Genomic DNA, 21,134 nt, shown 5'->3' on the forward strand with positions numbered 1-21,134 from the left:
CTGTGTTTTCTTCGTAACCTTTCAATCAGCATGCGGGCAGCTAGCTAAAGGAGCTTAAAGCAAACCTGGAGAAGTTGATGAACAACACTGGGATCTTATTTGCTGAAATTTCCCTGAGAGCAAAACAGTAAAAGGAGAACTTGGATTTCCAAAACACAGTGGTCATCCCTGTCTTGAAAACAATGTCCTCATTTGAGAAGCAAGTGGCTTTAATCTGTTCCTCACCCCACTGGCTTGTCTCCTAGCTTTTCGTTTGGGTTCTTCCTCTAAAGTGTAGAATTCCAAAAGTGAGGAGCGTGTCTCCTCTGGATCCCCGACCAATGACTGGGCCTGGAACCATCACGAGAGCCCTGAGAAGACCTGCTAGCACCTTGCTGGGGTCTGTGTCCTGAGTGGACATGTCAGTTGCCTACCTTTAAAAGCGCTAAGGGCCGACCTCGTGCAGCTGGAAGCTTTTGTGAAAAGGCACTCACAGGATTCCCTGCTGGATGCATGGTGCATGGCTCGGCACAATGAAGGGACACAAAAGCAATAAAGTGATGGTCCTTACAGTCTAATGACAAATGTGAATTATTCCACAGCCACTAGGAACCCCTGACTAAGGAATGGGCCCTATCTAGGGAGCAGTTTCAAATCACGTTCTCAGGTAATACCTGGTACTCACATCCAGTCGGAGTGGATTCATCCCAGGTTCCAGGGCAAAGCCAGAGAAAATGCAGAGCCATCACATCTCTCACTTCCCCCAGGATGGGCTAGACTAGTATGTAGGTCTTCTGGGCAGGAAAAAGACTATACCATATGCGTAAAAACCCTCGCATGCACACTCCCACACACATCTGAGTTGTTTGCCCTGAGCACCTCCAGCATATTATCCTCTCAGGGTCCATCCTGTATCCCATGCCTTTACCCTACTCCTATCTTTTTTTTTTTTTTTTAAGATGGAGTGTTGCCCTGTCACCCAGGCTGGAGTGCAGTGGCGCAAGCTCGGCTCACTGCAACTTCTGCCTCCCGAGTTCAAGTGATTCTCCTGCCTCAGACTCCCGAGTAGCTGAGATTGCAGGCGCCCACCACCACACCTGGCTAATTTTTTAATTTTTAGTAGAGAAGTGGTTTCACCATGTTGGCCAGGCTGTTCTTGAACTTCTGACCTCAGGTGATCCACCCGCCTCGGCCTCCCAAAGTGCTGGGATTACAGGCATGAGCACCATGCCCAGCTAAGGATGCCCATTTTCATCACTGTTATTCAACATAGTACTGGAAGTCCTACCCAGAGCAATCAAGACAAGAGAAGGAAGTAAACGGAATCCAAGTTAGAATGGAAGAAGTCAAATTATCTTTGTTTGCAGATGATATGATCTTATATTTGGAAAAAGCTGAAGACTCCACCAAAGAACTATTAGAACTGGTAAACAAATTTCAGCAAAGTTGCAGGATACAAAATCAACATACAAAAATCTCTAGCATTTGTATATGCCAACAGCAAACAATCTGAAAAAGAAATTTAAAAAGTCATCCCATTTACAATAGCTACTTAGGATTCTATTTAATCTTTTATTACTTTGGTTAAGTTCATTAACCATTTAATTAATTATTAGTTAACTAATTATAGAGATCTTGCATTTCTTTGGTTAAGTTTATTAACCAAAATGTGTATACCTTTATTATACATTTTATCAAAGAAATGAAAGATCTCTATAATTAAAACTATAAAACTTTGATGAAAAAATTTGAAGACCACACACACACACACACACACACACACACACACACACAAATGGCAAGATATTCCATGTTCATGAAGGCATCAATATTGTTAAAATGCCCATACTACCCAAAGAAATCTGATGATCCAATGCAATCCCTATCAAACACCAATGACATTCTTCACAGAAATAGAAAAAAAAACAACAACTAAAATTTATGTGGAACCACAAAAGACCAAGAATAGCCAAAGCTATCCTAAGCAAAAAGAATGAAACTGGAGGAACCACATTAGCTGACCTCAAACTATACTACAGAGCTATAGTAATCAAAACAGCTTGGTATTGGCATAAAAACAGACACATAGACCAATGGAACAGAATAGAGAACATAGAAATAAATCCATACATCTATAATGAACTCATTTTCTACAAAAGTGTCAAACACATACACCGGGGAAAGGACAGTCTCGTTAATAAATGGAGCTGGGACAACTGGATATCCATATGCAGAAGAATAAAGCTAGAACCCTACCTCTTGCCATAAAAAAAATGGATTAAAGACTTAGATCTCACTTTGGGAGGCTGAGGCAGGTGGATCACCTGAGGTCAAGAGTTTGAGACCAGCCTGGCCAACATGGTGAAACCCGTCTCTACCAAAAATACAAAAATTAGCTGTGCATGGTGGGGCACCCCATAATCCCAGCTATTTGGGAAGCTAAGGCAGAAGAATTGCTTGAATCTGGGAGGCAGAAGTTGCAGTGAGCTGAGATCATACCATCACACTCCAGCCTGGGCAACAGAGTGAGATTCCGTCTCAAAAAAAAAAAAAAAAAAAAAAAGACTTAAATCTAAGATCTCAAACTATGAAACCACTAAAAGAAAACATTGGAGGAACTCTCCAGGACATTGGACTGGGCAGTTATTTCTTGAGTAATACCCCATAAGCATAGGCAACCAAAGTAAAAATGGACAAATGGAATCACATCAAATTTAAAAAGCTTCAACAAAGTGAAGAGACAGCCCACAGAATGGGAGAAAATATTTGCAAACTGCCCATCTGACAAGGTATAAATAACCAGAATATATAAGGATCTCAAACAACTCGACAAGAAAAATTCTAATAATCCAATTTAAAAATGGGCAAAAGATCCAAATAGACATTTCTCAAAAGAAGATATAAAATGGCAAACATACATATGAAAAGGTGCGCAACATCATTGATCATCAGAGAAATGCAAACCAAAACTGCAAGAAGATACCATCTCACCCCGGTTAAAATGGCTTATATCCAAAAGATAGGCAATAATAAACACCGGCGAGGATGTGGAGAAAAGGAAATCCTCATACACTGTTGGTGGGAATATAAATTAGCACAACCACTATGCATAACAGTTTCCTCAAAAAAGCTAAACTACCATATGATCCAGAAATCCCACTGCTAGGTATATGCCCAGAAGAAAGGAAATTGTATGGCAAAGGTATATTTGCACTCCCATGTTTGTTGCAGCTCTGTTCACAATAGCCAGGATTTGGAAGCAACCTAAGTGTCCATCAACAGATGAATGGATACAGAAAATATGGTACATATACACAATGAAGTACTACTGAGCCATGAAAAAGAATGAATCATTTGCAACAACATGGATGGAACTGGAGGAAATTATGTTACATGAAATAAGCCAGGCACAGAAAGACAAGCTTCACATGTTCTCGTTTATTTGTGGGATCTAAAACTCAAAACAATTGAGCCCGTGGAGATAGAGTAGAATGATGGCTACCAGAGTCTGGAAAGGGTAGTTGGGGGTGGAGAAAATGAGCGATGGTTAATGGGTACAAAAATATAGTTAGATAGAATTAATAAAATCTAATATTTGATAGGACAATGGAGTGACTACAATTTATTATACATTTAAAAATAACTAAAAGAGTATAACTGGATTGTTTGAAACATGAAGAAAGCATCAGTGCTTGAGCTGACGGATACTCCATTTACCCTGACATGATTGTTACACATTGTATGTCTCTATCAAAATATCTTATGTACCCCATTAATATATACATCTAATAGGTACCCATAAAAATAAAAAATAGGCTGGGCACAGTGGCTCGCGCCTGTAATCCTAGCACTTTGGGAGGCCAAGGTGGGCAGATGACCTGAGGTCAGGACTTCAAGACCAGCCTGGCCAACATGGTGAAACGCCATCTCCACTAAAAATACAAGTTAGCCGGGCATAGTGGCACATGCCTGTAATCCCAGCTACTCGGGAAGCTGAGGCAAGAGAAATGCTTGAACCTGGGAGGCGGAGGTTGCAGTGAGCCGAGATTGTGCACCACTAAACTCTGGCCTAGGCGACAGAATGAGACTCTGTCTCAAAAATAAAAATAAAAATAAATTAAAAATAAAAATAAATTTAAAATTAAAAATTAAGACCAGGCTGTACCCTGAGGTAGTTTAGAAGGCTAAACTCCTATAACTTAGTCTTGGGAGGTCTCAAGGCTTAGCCAGCTCAAATTTTCCATTTCTCCAATAGAAGTTCTCTTATGAACTCTGAAGAAATTGCAGCATTTCTTTTGCTTTTAAATCTATCTACTTCTCCATGATTTTAGGAATACCCACTGGAGTTTCTTCTAATGTAGTGATTAATTCTGGTAAATTCAATATAATACAATTTAATTTAATAAAATCCAGGGAAGTGGGGTGGATGGGGAAAGCGGAGAAGTTCATCAAAGAGTACAAAGTTTCAGTTAGACAGGAAAAATAAGCTTTAGTGATTTATTGCATAGAATAATGACTGTATTAAATAATAATGCATTGTATATTTTATTTTGTTTTGTTATTTATTATTTTTGAGACAGAGTCTCACAATGTTGTCTAGGCTGGTGTCAAACACCTAGGCTCAAGCGATCCTCTGGCCCCATCCTCTTGAGTAGCTGGGACTACAGGCATGTACCACCATACCACACCATTTGTATATTTTAAAATTGCTTGTGTACGATGCTCACGATCTGGCTGACAGGATCATTCATACCCCAAACCTCAGCATCACACAATATACCCATATAGCAAGCCTGCACATATACCCCATTAATCTAAAGTAAAAGTTAAAAATACTTTTTCAAAATAACAAAATAAATAAATAAAATTGCTAAAAGAGTGGTGCATGCCTGTAATCCCAGCTACTCAGGAGGCTGAGGCAACAGAATCACTTGAACCCAGCAGGTTGTGGTGAGCCAAGATCATGCCATTGCACTCCAGCCTGGGCAACAGAGTGAGACGCCATTTCAAAAAAAAAAAAAAAAAAAAGAAAGAAAAGGGTAGATTTTAAATGTTCTCACAACAACAAAAAATGATAAGTATGTAAGATTCTTAACCACAGTTGATGTACCTCACAGGAAGAGCTTCTCTTTCAAGATGTGTAGCTGCCCGATGGGTTCTTCCTGCCCACTGCACAAAAAAATCAGTTCATGGAGACCATGGCACTGCAGTAAAGAAAGAGGTTAATTGACATGATGCCAGCCACACCATGTGGGAGGCAGAGTTATTACTCAAATCAAACTCATCTAAGGCTTGGAGGTTAGGGATTTTTCAAAGGTAATTTGGTAGGTAGCAGGCTAGGGTATGGGGAGTGCTGATTGGTTGGGTCAGAGATGAAATCATAGGGTGTCGAAGCTGTCCTCTTTCTCTGAGTCGCTTCTGGGTGGGGACACAGAAGCCGTTGGCTGGTCCCGGTGGAGCCATCGGTCATCAGACATGCAAAATCCTGAGAAGATATCTCAGAAGGCCAATCCTAGGTTCTACAAAAGTAACATTATCTGCAGGGGTAACTGAGGAAGTTGCATATCTTGTGGCTTCTGGAATAACGCCTCACAATTGTTTTTGTCTACACCTTAGCAGAATTTAGGCTCCTCTCCTCCTCCTAGCCTGGTGGTCTCTCAGTATTACAAGGGTGGTTGAGTTTCGGGGAAGGGTTATTATAATTTAAACTATCAACTAAATGACTCCCACATGTAGCTTGGCTTAAACCCAGGAATAAGTAAAAGCAGCTTGAAAGCTAAAGGCAAGAGGGAGGTTGGCTAGATCAGCTTTCTTTCACTGCCATTATTTTCTCACTGTGATAATTTTTGCAAAGGCGGTTTCAGATGTGATTGGATTTTTGGATACTGTGAACCCTGAATATCTGAGACTGGTCTCAGTCAATTTAGAAAGTTTATTTTGCCAAGGTTGAGGCTGCATGCCTGTGGCACAGCCTCAGGAGGTCCTGACGACATGTGCCCAAGGTGGTCAGGGCACAGCTTGGTTTTATACATTTTAGGGAGACATGAGACATCAATCAATATATGTAAGATGAACATTGGTTCCATCCAGAAAAGCAGGACAACTCAAGCAGAGAGGGATCTTCCAGGTCACAGGTAGGTGAGAGTCAAATGGTTGCATTATTTTGAGTTTCTGATGAGCCTCTCCAAAGGAGGCAATTAGATAAGCATTTATCTCAGTGCACGGAGGGATGACTTTGCATAGAATGGGAGGCAGGTTTGCCCTAAGCCATTCCCAGCTTGACTTTTCCTTTTAGCTTAGTGATTTTGGGGGCCTCAAGTTTTCTTTTCCTTTCACATTTCCCCCTTTTTCTGTTTAAAAATCTTTTGGAGAAAGCATTTTAGAAGAAAACGAGTCTCTGGTCTCAGGTTTCGTCTGGTCTCTCACAGCTGGGATGGTTTATTCCTAGGCAGATGGGTCTTGAGTTATTAGGAAAGCTCATTTTTATCAGGTTGAGAATCCTCATGTCCTATGAAGAGAAAATAGGTGGAGGAAGGGAGAAAAACAACAAACAAAATAATGATCCTAGAAAATCGATATAGGCCACACTACTCTGAAGTCCATACATCAGTAGGCAGGTATGAAAGTAGCTTATATATGTAAACAGGTTGCTGTTATTTTCTTCTGAAGTTTAAGTTGTCTAGCTTCAGTTCACAGGGCTTCACAAAGCACAGCTTAGCTTTCAGTGACTCCAAATTAGGAAAAATAGAAAAAAGAAAGGGAAAAAATTGAAAACGTTATATTGAAGACTTGTAGCCAAGAAAAACTAGAATTTGGTCCAAACTGTAGAAAATAATAAAAATTGAAAAACATTGGGCAAGACTAGAATCTAACAACAGGTGTACTATAGTTTTTAAAACATAGTTTTTCTCTCTCCAGTTTCTCATTTTTACTAAAGACAAATCATGGTACGACTGATTTCCTTTATTATACTTGGCCTGATTATTTGTATACAGTGCAGCAAGAATAATTATTTTTTTACACAGGCTTTTAAATTGACTTTGATGGAACTTTATTCCATAGAAGGAATCTCAGAAAAGACTTGTTTAAAGCTGAGCCCTGCCATGGATTTGTACCATCAAATACCTATGAGTTGCATGAATTCCTCTCCTTTTGAGGTCCCGAGGTAAAACTTGGGGCTCCTGGGCCTGTCAGAAAGTGACATTCTTTATTTACCACAGATCAGGAACCCTGTTCAGGGACTGTGTAGACAGGGTATTTGGCCAGCTTTCCCAAGGGGCTTTTACTGGCTTCATAAAACAAGTTTAATTCCTTAAAGGAAAGCACACCATTCCAGTCAAAGCCATGGTAGAATAACCAGTTTCTTCAATTGTGTCCTGTTACAAATAAAAACAGATTATTATTGCACTTATGCAAATAACTATATTACGATAAGTTAAGAATACTCACAAATAGTTTCCAAATTCAGGAGAAATCAGGCAGAGAGAAACAAATATGCTCCAAATTTTGTTCATAGGAGTATAATAACTTGTTAAAAGCTGTCAATAGCTCAAAAGAAAAGTTTCTTGACTCTGAAAAAAACAAAACAAAGGATCAACAACGTTTTAAGCAAAAAGTCAAAAAGATTACTTTAGTCTTCTATAAGTTCAGTCCATGTAGTTCATTCCTGTTCTGCTTGATATTCATGAACATTTCAGCTCTCCATGAGTCCCGAAAGTTTTTCCTCTATTCTGATGTCACAATCTCCAAAGTTACCAGAAACCTGCATTCAAGAGCACCTTTTAAAGTTTTATAGCTGATTATAAAACCACTTTCTTTCTTTTTATTTTTTTGAGATGGAGTCTCACTCTGTCACACAGGCTGGAGTGCAGTGGTATGATCTCAGTGCACTGCCACCTCTGCCACCCTGGTTCAAGTGATTCTCCTGCCTCAGCCTCCTGAGTACCTGGGATTACAGGCACCTGCCACCATGCCTTGCTAATTTTTGTAGTTTTAGTAGAGACAGGGTTTCACCATTTTGGCCAGGCTGGTCTTGAACTCTTGACCTCATGATCCACCCACCTCAGCCTCCCAAAGTGCTGAAATTACAGGCATGAGCCACCGCACCCAGCTATAAAACCACCTTCTAAAGAGGACCAAAACAAGACAATTGTCTGTGGATAACAAAAAGTTTAGGGCAGCCATAGTCAAAGATACAATTGACAAGGAAATTTGTTACCTCTGTGGCACAAAATAATGTAACATAACATTATTACTGATAATGTACAGTAAGTCATATCAGAATTATAGGAGTTTCCCATAATTTTAGAACACATACCAATAACATATTTATACAAATACAGTCCAAAGAAAACCAAACACAATTTCATACTTGACAATGCTTTCTGTATAATTTTTATACCAAATAAGCCAAATTATGTCATTTTTGGACTTTAGGGAACCTAGTATCTTAAATGATTAGGACAGAAAAATACATAATTTATAATTTGATTTTGGAAAGTTTGTCAGATATCAAAGGTTTAAAACACTTGATATCACAGGTCATTGTAAAATAAGTCACTCATTTGACCAAAGTGATAGCTGAAGGATTTCAAAAAACAGGCAAAAGCTTTCATTGTTTTGGAGAGGAGACTTAATTTTTCAAACAATAAACCCTCATTTAAAAAAACAGCAGGAAGCTAATTAAATTTGTTTTTCAAAATTTTATAAACAAGCTATAAAATTTTAATCTTAACCATAACGTATAACTTCCATAAGCCTTTTATAACCTTTATTAAGGAGTCAGTTAATGCTTCAAGAAAATGTTGTTAATCTGACACAGGGGCCCATGTGCTGGTCTTGTGTCAGTGTGCCTTTGACATTAGTGATTAATTTACAGAGAAACTCAACTTATTTTCTCTCTCAAAATTGGCCCTTAGAATCTCACATGCCCATGCTAGTCCCCGGGCCTTGAGGAGTTGAACAGCTTTAATTCTGTGTGTCAGGATGCAGTTCATTTTGATTGGCATCTTCTACTGGGCCTGAGGATGAGGCTTGAATCGCTGTCAGTGTTTAAGATTTTCTACTGGGCCTGAAGATGAGGCTTTAATTACTGTCAGTGTTTAATATTTAGCAGGACTTGGTGCCCTTTTTAGACCCAGGAGTCAAAGCCCTGTAACTCTATGTCGGAAGGACTTGAAAAGCGCATACAAAAAGATACATGGATGTACTAACCCTAATTTAAGAAAATTTTTTCAATCTCAGTTTTTTTCTTAAGTAAATCAAAATTTAATAATAATGGCAATTATTTCAGTAAACCATAAAATCTGTTAGGCCAGTTACCAAAAGGCAAAAGAAAAGACCTTCTGCACTGCACAGAATATGATGATGAAAGACGACATTTCCTTTAGGCCTTTAAGAGAATATTGTTAGCATCAGGTCACAAGAAACAGAACTGGAGGAAAAAGACTTTTAGGAGCTGACAATGAGTTGAGGGAGAGCATTACTATTGTGCACCCTTTCAAAGAGGAGAGAAAATAAAAAATGGTGAGATGCAATAAAAGTTGAACTTTGGATTAAAAAAATCAGAGTCTCTTATAATTTATTAAGAGTAAATAAGTCCCTCAAGAAAATTCATTGTTTTAACCAATTATTTAGTGTGTAAGTTTTTTTTACATCAAAGCCCAATCTCTAGAAAGATCTTCCGCCTCAGCCTCCCAAGTACCTGGGATTACAGGTGTGCACCACCACATCCAATTGATTTTTGTATTTTTAGTAGAGACTGGGTTTCGCCATGTTGGCCACGCTGCTCTTGAACTCCTGACCTCAGGTGATCCACCCACTTCGGCCTCCCAAAGTGCTGGGATTACAGGCATGAGCCACTATGCGTCTGGCCCTATTTGTATTTTAGATTTGTGCTGTTCAAAAGGTTTCCCCAGTAAGCATATACTACTTTTATAATGAAAATTTTAAAATTTTTATGGATTTTGTTTTTTTCCCCCAGATTTACTGAGGTATGATTGATGAATTAAACAAAAAACAATACTGTATATATTTAAGGTGTACAGCGTGATGATTTATTTTGTGAACTGATGACACAATCAACTTAATACACATCTATCACCTCATACAATTATCCTTTTTTTTTGGAGATACAGACACCTAAGGTCTACTCTCTTCGCAAATTTCAAGTTATATTAATGAGAGCCACCGTACTGTATGATTTTAACTGTAGCCACCATGCTGTATAATGTTAACTCTGGCCACCATGCTGTATAACATTAACTCTAGCCACCATGCTGTTTATCAGACCTTCAGAACTTCACCTTGTGACGGGAAGTTACACCTTTAATCAGCATCGCCACAGTCTGCATTCCCCCAGCCCCTGGCAACCACTGTCCTATTCTGTTTCTGTGAGTTGTGACAGTTTTAGATCCACATATGAGTGACATGCAGTATCTGTCTTTCTGTGCCTGGGACGTTTCACTTAACATAATGACTTTGGGTTCATCCACATTGTCACACATGACAGGATTTCCTTTGTTTTCATAGCTGAATAATATTCAGTTGTGTATACACACCACATTGTCATTAAACACCAAAAATTTTTAGGTTGTTTCCATATCTCGGGTATTGTGAATAACGCTGCAATGAACATGGGGGTCCAGGTGTCTCTTTGAGCTTCTGATTTCATGCCCTTTGGATATACACCCAGAAATGAGGTTGCTGGAGCACATGGTAGTCCTGTGACTTTTGAGGAACCTCCAGAGTTTTCCACAATAGTTGTACTAATTTACATTCCCACCAACAGCACACAGGGTTCCCTTTTCTCCACATCCTCACCAACACTCACTATCTTTTGTCCTCTTGGTAACAGCCATTCTAACTGGAGCGAGATGAGATGATACTCATTGGGGTTTTAATTTGCATTTCTCTGGTGCTTAGTGATGTTGAGCATTTTTTCATACATCAACTGGCCATTTGTATGTCTTCTCTGGAAAAATATCTATTCAAGTCCTTTGCCCATTTTTAGCAGGGTTGTTTTTTAGTAGGGTTTAGTAGGTTGGTTTTAGTAGGGCTTTTTTTTTTTTTTTTTTCTATTTTAGATACTAAGATATCATTAGATATATGGTTTGGAAAATATTTTTTCCCAACCTGTAGTTTTGCTGATTTTTTTTCTTGGCTGTACTGACACTTCTTAACTTTTAAAGTGACTAAAGTAACTGCCACTGTATAAAATTAAAGTTTTTCATTTTCATTATGCGGAGAAGACAGACTTATCTATCCCAGGAATCAGTATAAACACAGAACCCACTAAAACAAGAGAGATTTTGCCAGAAAACCCCATGTGACTCTTTGGGCCGCAGGTGCCTCATCTAAAATCGGGAGAGGTAAGCTGTGAAGCTGACGGCAGCCACTACCGACTACTGAGGGCCATGCTTTCTCACCCCGAGGCAGGTGCTGCTGTCCTCACTCTTTACAGGTGAGGAACCACGGCTGGGAAAGGCCATCACCCTCACATGGTTATATCAAGGCCTGTGTCTGAACTGCTATTCTACAATGCCTCTATTTTCCTTAAAATAAAGACACTCTAAAAGAAATTTATTCATTTTTACAAAGGAAATAAAGTAGAAATTAGATTCCTACCCTGTGGCAACAACAGTGTTCTTTGCTCTTATGTGATGGATGGACCCGTCCTCTATGCACAGTGCAATGACACCACGGCACTCCCTGTTCTCTATCAGGAGATCCAAGGCAAAATACTCCACAAAACAGCTGGTATCATATCTCAGAGACTAAAAGAAAGAAAAAAAAAGGGCAAGAAGTGTTAAGCCAACCTTTAAGGTTTTAAGGTGATATCTGCTCATGTGAATAGGTGAAAGAACTTGATCCAAATGGACCAGGTAAATCCAAGGAGATCAGCAACAGTGTCAATGACACTGTCAGAGCCCGAGAGGCATTCCACGCCCAGCAGTACAAACAAGGCAGGTGTGCTAGAGAACGCAGCAGCAACAGCTCCTATGTTGGTGACATACTTCCTACTTCTACACAACCCGAAGAGGCACTCCACACTGTCCGGTGGCCGCATGCAGCTCCACTCGGAGTCTGGTGCCAGAGTGAGGTCCGCAGACCATGGGGTCACAGCCCAGATGGGAGCTACTGGCAACACATAACCACTTAATTAATTAAAATAAATCAAAGCGTTCAGCTCTTCAGCTACACCTGCCACATTAGCAACAGCCCCATGTGGCTGGCAGCTACCAAAGTGGACGGTTGCAGACGAGCAGATTCCGGCACCGCAGAAAGGTAGGCGCCGGACAGCGCTGCCCGCCTGGACCTGCCGTTCCCTCAGCCAGCACAAGTCGCTCTCGTGAGCCTGGGCCAGCTCCCCACATGACAGCTCCTGCTCCGGACAGAGCCGCCATCTCCTCCCACCACACACTTGTCGATGCACTCAGCCACAGAGAAGTCACTGGTGTTCTAACAACCTGCACATTACTGATCCGTCCCCATGCATCAGAAAACAACAAAGCTCAGAACATGGATTACTCTGAATCAATACTGTTCAGAATATTATTTGGTCATGCCAAAGTTGACCCTGATTACCCAGTAACTATTGTCACCTCAAGTCTTTGTCCAATGGTAACAGTTAATATTAAAACAATCCATGGCCGGGTGTGGTGGCTCACGCCTGTAATCCCAGCACTTTGGGAGGCCGAGACGGGTGGACTGCCTGAGCTCAGGAGTTCGGGAGCAGCCTGGGCAACATGGGAAACCCTGTCTCTACTAAAATACAAAAAATCAGCAAGGCGTGGCGGCGTGCACCTGTAGTCCCAGCTACTCTGGAGGCTGAGGCAGGAGAATCGCTTGAACCCGGGAGGCAGAGGTTGCAGTGAGCAGAGATCGCGCCACTGCACTCCAGCCTGGGTGAGAGTGAGACTCCGTCTCAAAAACAAAGCAAAACAAAACAAACAAACCAAACCAATCCATTCAGGAACTCAGAGGTGGTAAAAGAGCCTTAAAATACTTGTTCTTTGTCTTTTTTTGAGACAGGTCTCCTGTTGCTCAGGCTGGAGTGCAGTGGTATGAACATGGCTCACTGTCTCAAGTGATCCTCCTGCCTCAGCCTCCTGAGTAACTGGGATTACAAGCATGTACCACCATGCTCAGCTACTTTTTAAACTTTCTGTAGAGACAGGGTCTCGCTATGTTCTCCAGACTGGTCTCAAACTTCTGGTCTCAAGTGATCCTCCTGCCTTGGCCTCCTAAAGTGCTGGGATTACAGACGTGGGCCACTGTGCCTGGCCTGCTTGCTCTGTTCTTACATGCTGAGTGTCACATATCCCAAGTGAAAACCTGGTATATAAGATTATCAATTCAACTTTCCAACATAGAGGCAATAACTCACACATTGCCTTAGGGGCAGCTTCTCAAGGCACACGTCTGCTCCTGTCACCTCCACAGTCACTGCATGTGCCCCACACCGCTGTTCTCTGTTGCTTTTTACGTAATCTCTGGCTGACTCACTGGGCACGCTAACCCATTCCCCGCTGTCACCATAAGCCCCAGCACTACGTGTCCTGTCTCAGGTGGACGGAGGGCGGCCTTACCCTCCCATATGAGGTGTGCAATATTGAGTGGCCGGTCCGATCAGCCACACAGCAGCACCGATGGGCCTGCCTGCCCTTTCCAAACTTGAGGCTCTGTCCACCAAATGCACGCTGATAAATCTTCCCATCTTCAGTTCTGCTAAACGGCATGCCATAATTTTCTAGCTGTGAAAGATAAAAACAAACAAAAGCCTTATTACCTTAAAGGAGTCAAGATATTCACAGCTAATCTACACTAAACAACCTTAGTAAAAATCTGCAAACCCAAAGTAACCTATTTTATGAAAATGTCAACACTTCATCAAAGAGAAGTTTTTCTTATTACATGTAATACATAGTTCATGACGGACAAAGACTTCTCTTGTGAGCTTTGCTAATCACCATTCTTTCGGCTGCCACATCTGCCTCAACTGCTTACATTTTTTCCAGGACTCTTGTACTAGAAACAGACCACGAGAGCACCCAGAGCCTCCCGCCCATCACCTCGACCATGGCAGTGGGGGCCTGCTCCGTCACGTAGTGGATGGCATCCTGGTCCCCCAGCCAGTCGGAGCCCTTCACGGTGTCATAGAAATGCCACCTCCAGTTGTCCTCCTCCATGTTCCCCAGAGCAGCATTGATTCCAACCTGGAAACACCAACCACTCCTTACAAGCCACAAACAGGAGCCCCAGCTTTGTCTTCCAGGCCCAAATCCACCCGCTGGGGGATTCAGAGAAAGCCAACTACTCACATGGTGACTCCCAGTGAGGGCTGACCTCAGCAGAGGAGCAGCCAGGCCTGACAGATTCCAGATCACAACCCCTCCCAGACTCACCCAGTGATTCCATCCCTTAGCCTCAGTCTCCTCATCTGTGTGGTGGAGACAGAGGGAACTCCAGGAAGGGCTGACTGGAGCAGTGAGTGAAAGGCTACCTGTAATATGCTTATTACCTAACGTATCTGGCACAGAAAAGGTACTCCATGAATCTCTCCACATAATTGTATTAACAAATCTTCCCAACGGCATTTACGGGCATGTGTTAAAGATCAGAAGTGCTTCCTGCCAAGTAATAGACTCCATACTCAGAGTCGCACTCCCCTGTACCCCTACTTCCTTTGGCTGTGTGTGCCCACCACCGTCTTACCCCTCAGAGAGTCCCAGAAGACAGCAGCACAGGGACAAATGAAACCCTTGCCCTTTTCTTCCCCAACCTAAATTCTGAATCCTCCTCTTTAGATGATCTCCTTTTCTTAAGGTGTTGGGGTGGCAGGGGTGGGTGGGGAGGGTAGATGGTCAGAGAAAACCCAAGTGTGACTGGAGTCTGAATTAAGAGTGACAACAAGGCTCCCGCCCTTCAAAGTCCCCAGGGAAGAGGCTCCAGGGAGAGACCCCTGAATGGGTGAGCTGAGTAAGGCACAGCAAGAGGCCGAGTGGCTGGAGCACGGGGAGGAGGCAGGAGGCTGCCCAGGTAGAAAGTGCGAGGCTGCGCGGGACCTGCACGGAGTGGGAGCACAGTGGGGCACCTTTCTCTTACCTGCGCTGCAACAGTGTGTGACCTGGTAGGAAACAGCTTGGTAACACATGCTGTATCAAACTCTGCCTCGGAAAGGCCAAATGCAGCTCGCAAAGCCTGCCCCTCCAGCGCCTACCACCACTGCATCAAATTCATGATCCACTACTGGATACTGAGCAGAAATCTGGAAAAGAAAAATTCACCTGTCAATCACAGGTTCCACTATGCCAAACATGAAGACTCTTGTGCCAGTGAAAGAGCTTGACAAAGATAAAAGGAGCAACTGCTGGGCACACAGGGCCTCCATCCTGTCCTGGGGCTGAGCCCTGAACAGTGCGGGGAGAAGTAGGCACATTCGCACCTGGAGAAGGGACTGATAATCAGATTCTATGAATGGTAGAGGGTCTATTCCATGGGATCAGACTGAGGACCACAACTCTACTTCAGGGCCGTGCCTATGCTTATGCCTGAGAAGGTGCCAAGGAGCATTCAGTCGCTATTGTGAGCTTATGAGAAAAGAACTTCTCAGCACGTTTCAGTTTTCCAACAGAGAGAGAACAGGCACACTCAATACCAAGGAACCCACACCGGAAGGGCCCCACGGTCCTCTTTTCAGTAGGATTTTATCATCTATCACAGCAGATACTGTTCATTTTAATTTATTGCTTTACTTGACCTAAATTTAAATCTAATTTATAGATACATAACAGATACAAGTAAAAATGTTAACATCTATGTTTATATTGGTACTTGCAATTAAGTATTATTACACTGAAAATAATTTCAGCATGCATTGGATACCTATGAGAAATTTTTCCCTTATGTCTATGACTCATATGAAAACAAACTGGTATAGATCCTTACCCCCAAGGCAAAAAATTCATTTATAATGGAACAAAAAGCATGAACTTACGGAATCTGAAACTTTAGCAGATGCCCTCTCGTTCCTTCAACAGTGAAGTGAACACCTCGGGTTCCTGTTTGCAACACTGTTGGCCACTGGAGACACAGAAGACACAGATCCAGAGGGTTAGTGTCCTGAAGGAACAAATGCTGCGGGGGATAGTAATTCAAACTTCCCCTTGCAAACTGTTCACCTTCTTATGTACCCAGGTGCTCCTGTGCATCCAGAGAGCTCAGCTGGGACCCTCTACTTAACCCTGAAGGGCAGCCCAAGGGGCAAGGAAGGACTGAGCCCCCAGGTCCTCCTTTCCACCCTGACTTGGCACTCTAGAAAACCAGGATGAAGCTTGTTTCCAAAAAGGATACTCACTGACTCAGATACGAGATGAAAAAGGCGCACTTCCTCTGGGAAGTCTTCACTTATGCTACTTAGTGGAGGAGGGGAAAGACATCCAGATCGTATTACTGTATGTGGTATTTTGCAAATAATGAAGCATTTTAACTGGCTCCATCAGAGCCCTTTCCACATTACAGTTCCAATCGTCCAGGAGGGCTTGCGTTCAGTTCAAAAGGCACTGGACACCTGAATCAGGAGATCTGTATCCTGGAACAGTAAAGGCTGACAGCCCAGAGGGAAGAGGTGTCATCCCTTCATCACACAGGAGGATGTCGGATGCACACTCTCCCCTGCCTGGTTGCTGCTGGCTTTTTCCCGGCCAACGTCTACAACTTGACATATCTCGCTGCTTAAATTTTCCATCTTAGAAACCTTTACTCAAGAAAACTGGTTTTAGTGTTTAGTTTTTAGTGGCTCTGTGTGAGAGAGGTCACACTGTCCCATATGCTAAGGTTGGCCAGCCATTTAGGGGATACGTTTTCCATTCTGCTGGCGGCATTTTAGAAGACCACTGAATAGTCTCAGAAATATCATCAAGAATAGTTTTAGGGGCTGGGCGCGGTGGCTCATGCCTGTAATCCCAGCATTTTGGGAGGCCAAGGTGGGCAGATCACCTGAAGTCAGGAGTTCGAGACCAGTCTGGCCAACATGGCAAAACCCCCTCTCTACTAAAAATTAGCTGGTCGTGGTGGCGGGCACCTGTAATCCCAGCTACTTGGGAAGCTGAGGCAGGAGAATCGCTTGAACCCAGGAGGCAGAGGTTGCAGTGAGCCGAGACTGTGCCACTGTACTCCGGCCTGGGTGACAGAGCGAGACAATGTCTCCAAAAAACAAAAGAAAAAAAAAGCTTTAGGAAATTATGCACTCAGCAATCAGAAGAGGGGATGTGAGGGATGTCTTCAAGTATTTAGAAATACTGGCAATTCACAAATTACTTATTATGTGGGATAAAAAATTATTCTTCATTTCTCCAATTTCTAGTCTGTTTTTATTGACATAAGCTAATTTAGTTTTTTCTTTTTTCAGAAAATGAGAAAACGAATATTCTTCTACCTTAGTATAATTTTTTACATGGTAAAATCATATTTTAAGAAAGAAGTCTTTGAAATAATTTTAATAAAAACGTTCTTGAAAATTTTGTAAAGTGCCCTATTAACATAGGTAATAGCACCAATAAAAACAGTACATTATACCAAATGTAAGTAGAAACAGTGAGATCACTAAATGTTTATTCGTTCTTTCTAGGATGTTGATGTGGAATACACACTGCCCACCCCCCACCACACACACACAGCTGGCTTAAAAGGGGCAGCTACTATAACACAATCTTGAACAAATCATCACGCCATCCCCCTGGGGAAAAGGACACTAACCCTCTGCATCTAAATCTCATCTGGGGCAGATTTTTGAATCTGGAAAGCCCAACTTCAAGCCAATGTCAGTCTTTAGATAAAACTCAAAACTACTTTTGACACAAAACTAGTCTTTTGTGCCAATTATTAATTTTTTAGGAGAAACTATCAAACATTTCCTCTAAGAAAAAAAATGGGGAACATATAACTAAAAGGAATACTTAGACCTTGCTTAACAATACAGAATTTCAGATGACTGAATCAGGAGGTGGAGGGGGAAAAGTAACAAGTGCAGAGACATTCATATCCGAAATCTAGCAAAGTAAGGGTCCCTCATCGAATAAAATGCACCTATAAATCATGAGCAAGAACGAATCTGCATGTACAACCTACACAATCACAAAAGCAGCCAACGAAGAACCCAAAAACGCACGACTTTCTGTAGGAAAAGCTACCTTCATCAAGATAAAAAGACTTTTACAAAACCCAAGACTAAATTTTGGTTCCATTTTGCTATCTTGCCATCTGGTCTGAGGTGCCTGGGGCCTTAGTCTGCAGAAGGAACACTGGGCACCATCTGGGTTGGGGACAAAGGCACTGGCTCTATCTAGCTTCTCTCCAACCACAAGCTACCACTGCCCCTAAAAAGTCCCACTGACCATGGGCTTCACCTCCTGCTTGTGGACGCCCTCCCAGCAGCTCCTAAGAGCCCAAGATGCGGCGGGGGTCTCTGCTCAGTCAGCACCAACCACAGCAACACGCTAGAACGGTTTACACGCTTTCCGATGTTGACAGGATGGCTGTATGACTAATCCTCACATTTAATTCAAAGAGATTTTCAATAACTATTTCAAAAAGGAGAGAATTGCACAATCACAGGCATAATTCAAATCAATATTGCTGAATGCCTTGGTTCCTATTGAGATTTTTACTCTGCAATTTAAAATTACTTTGTAATTAAGAGGTGGGTGGCTAAGTTCATTTAAAAGAACCAAACAACTAAACCTATCCAATTTCGCTTGATTAAATAAAATCCTAGAAGGCCGATTCTGAAGATGCAATCGTAGAGGGCACACTCAGACACTCAGAGAGCAAGGGCTCAGGGAAGTATAACCCTGACCATCATCCTGGACTAAGCCGAGCCCGGCCCTCGAGGTACTCAGCGCACAGGCAAGCACAGGTCCTGGAGTCCTCGCTCGGTCAGTGCCCTGAGCTCTCCGTCTGATTTTTAAAAACTGGCACAGCTGCTTTTAAACACCGGCACATTTTTGGTGGCACAAGGGCCACCAAACAGGACCCAAAGTACAGGTCCTTAACTTCCAAGATCCCGAAGTGGACATGCACAGATTTGCGCTCTCTGGAAAGGGGAACTGCAAGCCCAAGCTCGGGCGCGCCGCGCTTCCCACCGGACACCCACCCGGCCGAGCCCGGCCACTCCTCGCACCCACCCGGGCGGTTTCACCCGCCCCGCCAGCCCCACCCACGGGCTGCGGGCGGCCCCGCAGGACAACCCTCACAGAGGGCGGCAGAGGCCCGGCCCAGCCAGGACTCCACCCCGGTGACCTTGGGCAGACACGACTCCTCCCCGAGTCCACCCGCCAGGCAGAGGCGAGGGGCTACCTCAGCCCGCGAGGTCGCCGGACCCCAGGCCCGGACCAAAGCGGCGGAGGGGACGCCCAGCAAGCCCGCGGGGTCGCGACCTTCACCGGGACGCGGCCTACCTGCTAAGGACCGAGCTCCCCAGGCCCCCGAGTACACTCCGCGGCTCCCCCTCGCACCGGCCCAGGGCTCTCCCAGCCCCTTCCCGATCCCCGGGCAGGGGGCGCGGGGACCCGGCGCCCGCTCCGCTCGGACCCGCTGGGGACCGTCCCGCTCCTACCGCCGCCTCGTCCCCCGCCTGCCCTGCCCCGGTCCGCGGCAGGGACTCACAGCCTTGGCCAGCGCCAGCGCCAGGCGCCGAGCGCTTAGCAGCCGCGACAGGCTCCGGACCCCCGATACGTCTGCAGTCGCCTCCGCGCAGTCCCGCCAGTCCCTGCGCAGACTGCGCCTGCGCACCACGGCCGGGTCAAGGCGGGGCGCTAGTGGGGGACATTGCGCCTGCGCACCACGCCACGCCCGGGCCGGGGTCTAAGGGGCGGGGACGCCGCGCCTGCGCAAAGCGGACCCGCGGACGGTGGCGCTGGGTGGCCACGGAGGTCCCGCGCTCCCCGACCGAGATAGGGCGGGCCCTATTTCGGAGAGGTGTTTGGCACCAACATTTTTTAAAGCCCCGTGGGTGGTTCTCCGGGATCTCCCAGACCGAGAGGGCCTGAACGTCCAGACCTCAGGGAATGGGGTCGAAGGGGCGGCGCTCGTCCGCGGAGGTGGGCGGGAGCGGCCCGGGGCCTCGGGCCTCTAGAGAGCGGGAGTGACCCTCGGTTTCTGGCCTCCGAGGGGCGGGAGCGATCCTCAGCCATGTCCCTAGTCTCTGGCTTGCGGCTGATTTTTAAATTTTTTGTAGAGGCCGGATCTTGCTCTGTTGCCCAGGCTGGTCTCGAACTTGTGGCCTCAAGCGATCCTCCCTCCTGGGTCTCCCGAAGTGCGGGGATTACAGACAGAGCCACTGCGCACGGCCGTGGTCAGCTTTGAAAGCTGGGTAGATCCCTTTGGCTTATACGCCTTTCTGCTAGCTTACCCTGATTCTGCTTCTGGTTCAGATAGTATTTTAATATTTCTAGTGTGTCTTTTTGTAAGATACCTGAAATCTTTTTGTGGAATGAAGTGGCATGAAAAATAAACCAATAATCATTAGTAAGTATGTTTCCTGTCTTTTCACTTTATTAAAATCTTCGTCTTGTGCATCATGTTTAACAATTTTATTTTAATAAATTTGCAAGGGTTCAGTCCCATTTTATTGATATTTGGGTTGTTTCCCATTTTTGCTCTTAATAACACCGTACAGAACATATTTGTGACCATAACTTTCTCTTTAGGATTATTTTTTTAGATGTATGCCCCAGACGTGGCCTTTATTGGCTTGCAGGGAATGAACATCATACCTCCTAGACTTATTTTTTTAAAGTTACGCTGTTTTAGTCCTGGGTTAGTTACCTAATTTTGTTTGGTTTGAGACGGAGTTTCGCTCTTGTTGCCCAGGCTGGAGTGGAATGGCGGGATCTCGGCTCACCGCAACCTCTGCCTCCAGGGATCAAGACATTCTCCCGCCGAGCTTACAGTGAGCAGAGAGGGCACCACTTCACTCCAGCCTGGGCAACAGAGCAAGACTATATTGCTTTAATTTACTCTGCCGGCTATCTGGAGAGATGCAACCTCATCAGCAGAAATTATTTCCACTTGCTGCTTTTTAAATGTTATTTCCTATAGCCAGGTACTGAGCCCTTCAATTGAGGTCTAAACCCTCCACCCTCTCCCTCCGGGAT

General features: G+C 43.9%; 1 pseudogene across 1 annotated transcript, besides 1 other annotated feature; it reads right to left on the reverse strand.

Moving 5' to 3' along the window:
* Positions 1-5,891: 5,891 nt before the first annotated feature.
* On the reverse strand, positions 5,892-19,746 carry SDHAP4 (SDHA pseudogene 4; annotated as a pseudogene). The gene is made up of 8 exons (NR_003266.2): positions 19,645-19,746; positions 15,977-16,062; positions 15,085-15,247; positions 14,052-14,195; positions 13,569-13,733; positions 11,605-11,753; positions 7,429-7,550; positions 5,892-6,487 (listed from the first exon to the last, which is right to left on the reverse strand). The product of NR_003266.2 is annotated as an SDHA pseudogene 4 (transcript).
* Positions 19,592-19,931: a silencer, noted in NCBI's record as "silent region_15088". NCBI's record gives its function as "represses an Ori minimal core promoter by ATAC-STARR-seq in GM12878 lymphoblastoid cells {active_cell/tissue: GM12878}" and the evidence as "EXISTENCE:reporter gene assay evidence [ECO:0000049][PMID:35858748]".

This window comes from Homo sapiens, chromosome 3 (assembly GCF_000001405.40).
Source record: "Homo sapiens chromosome 3, GRCh38.p14 Primary Assembly".
NCBI lineage: Eukaryota > Metazoa > Chordata > Mammalia > Primates > Hominidae > Homo > Homo sapiens.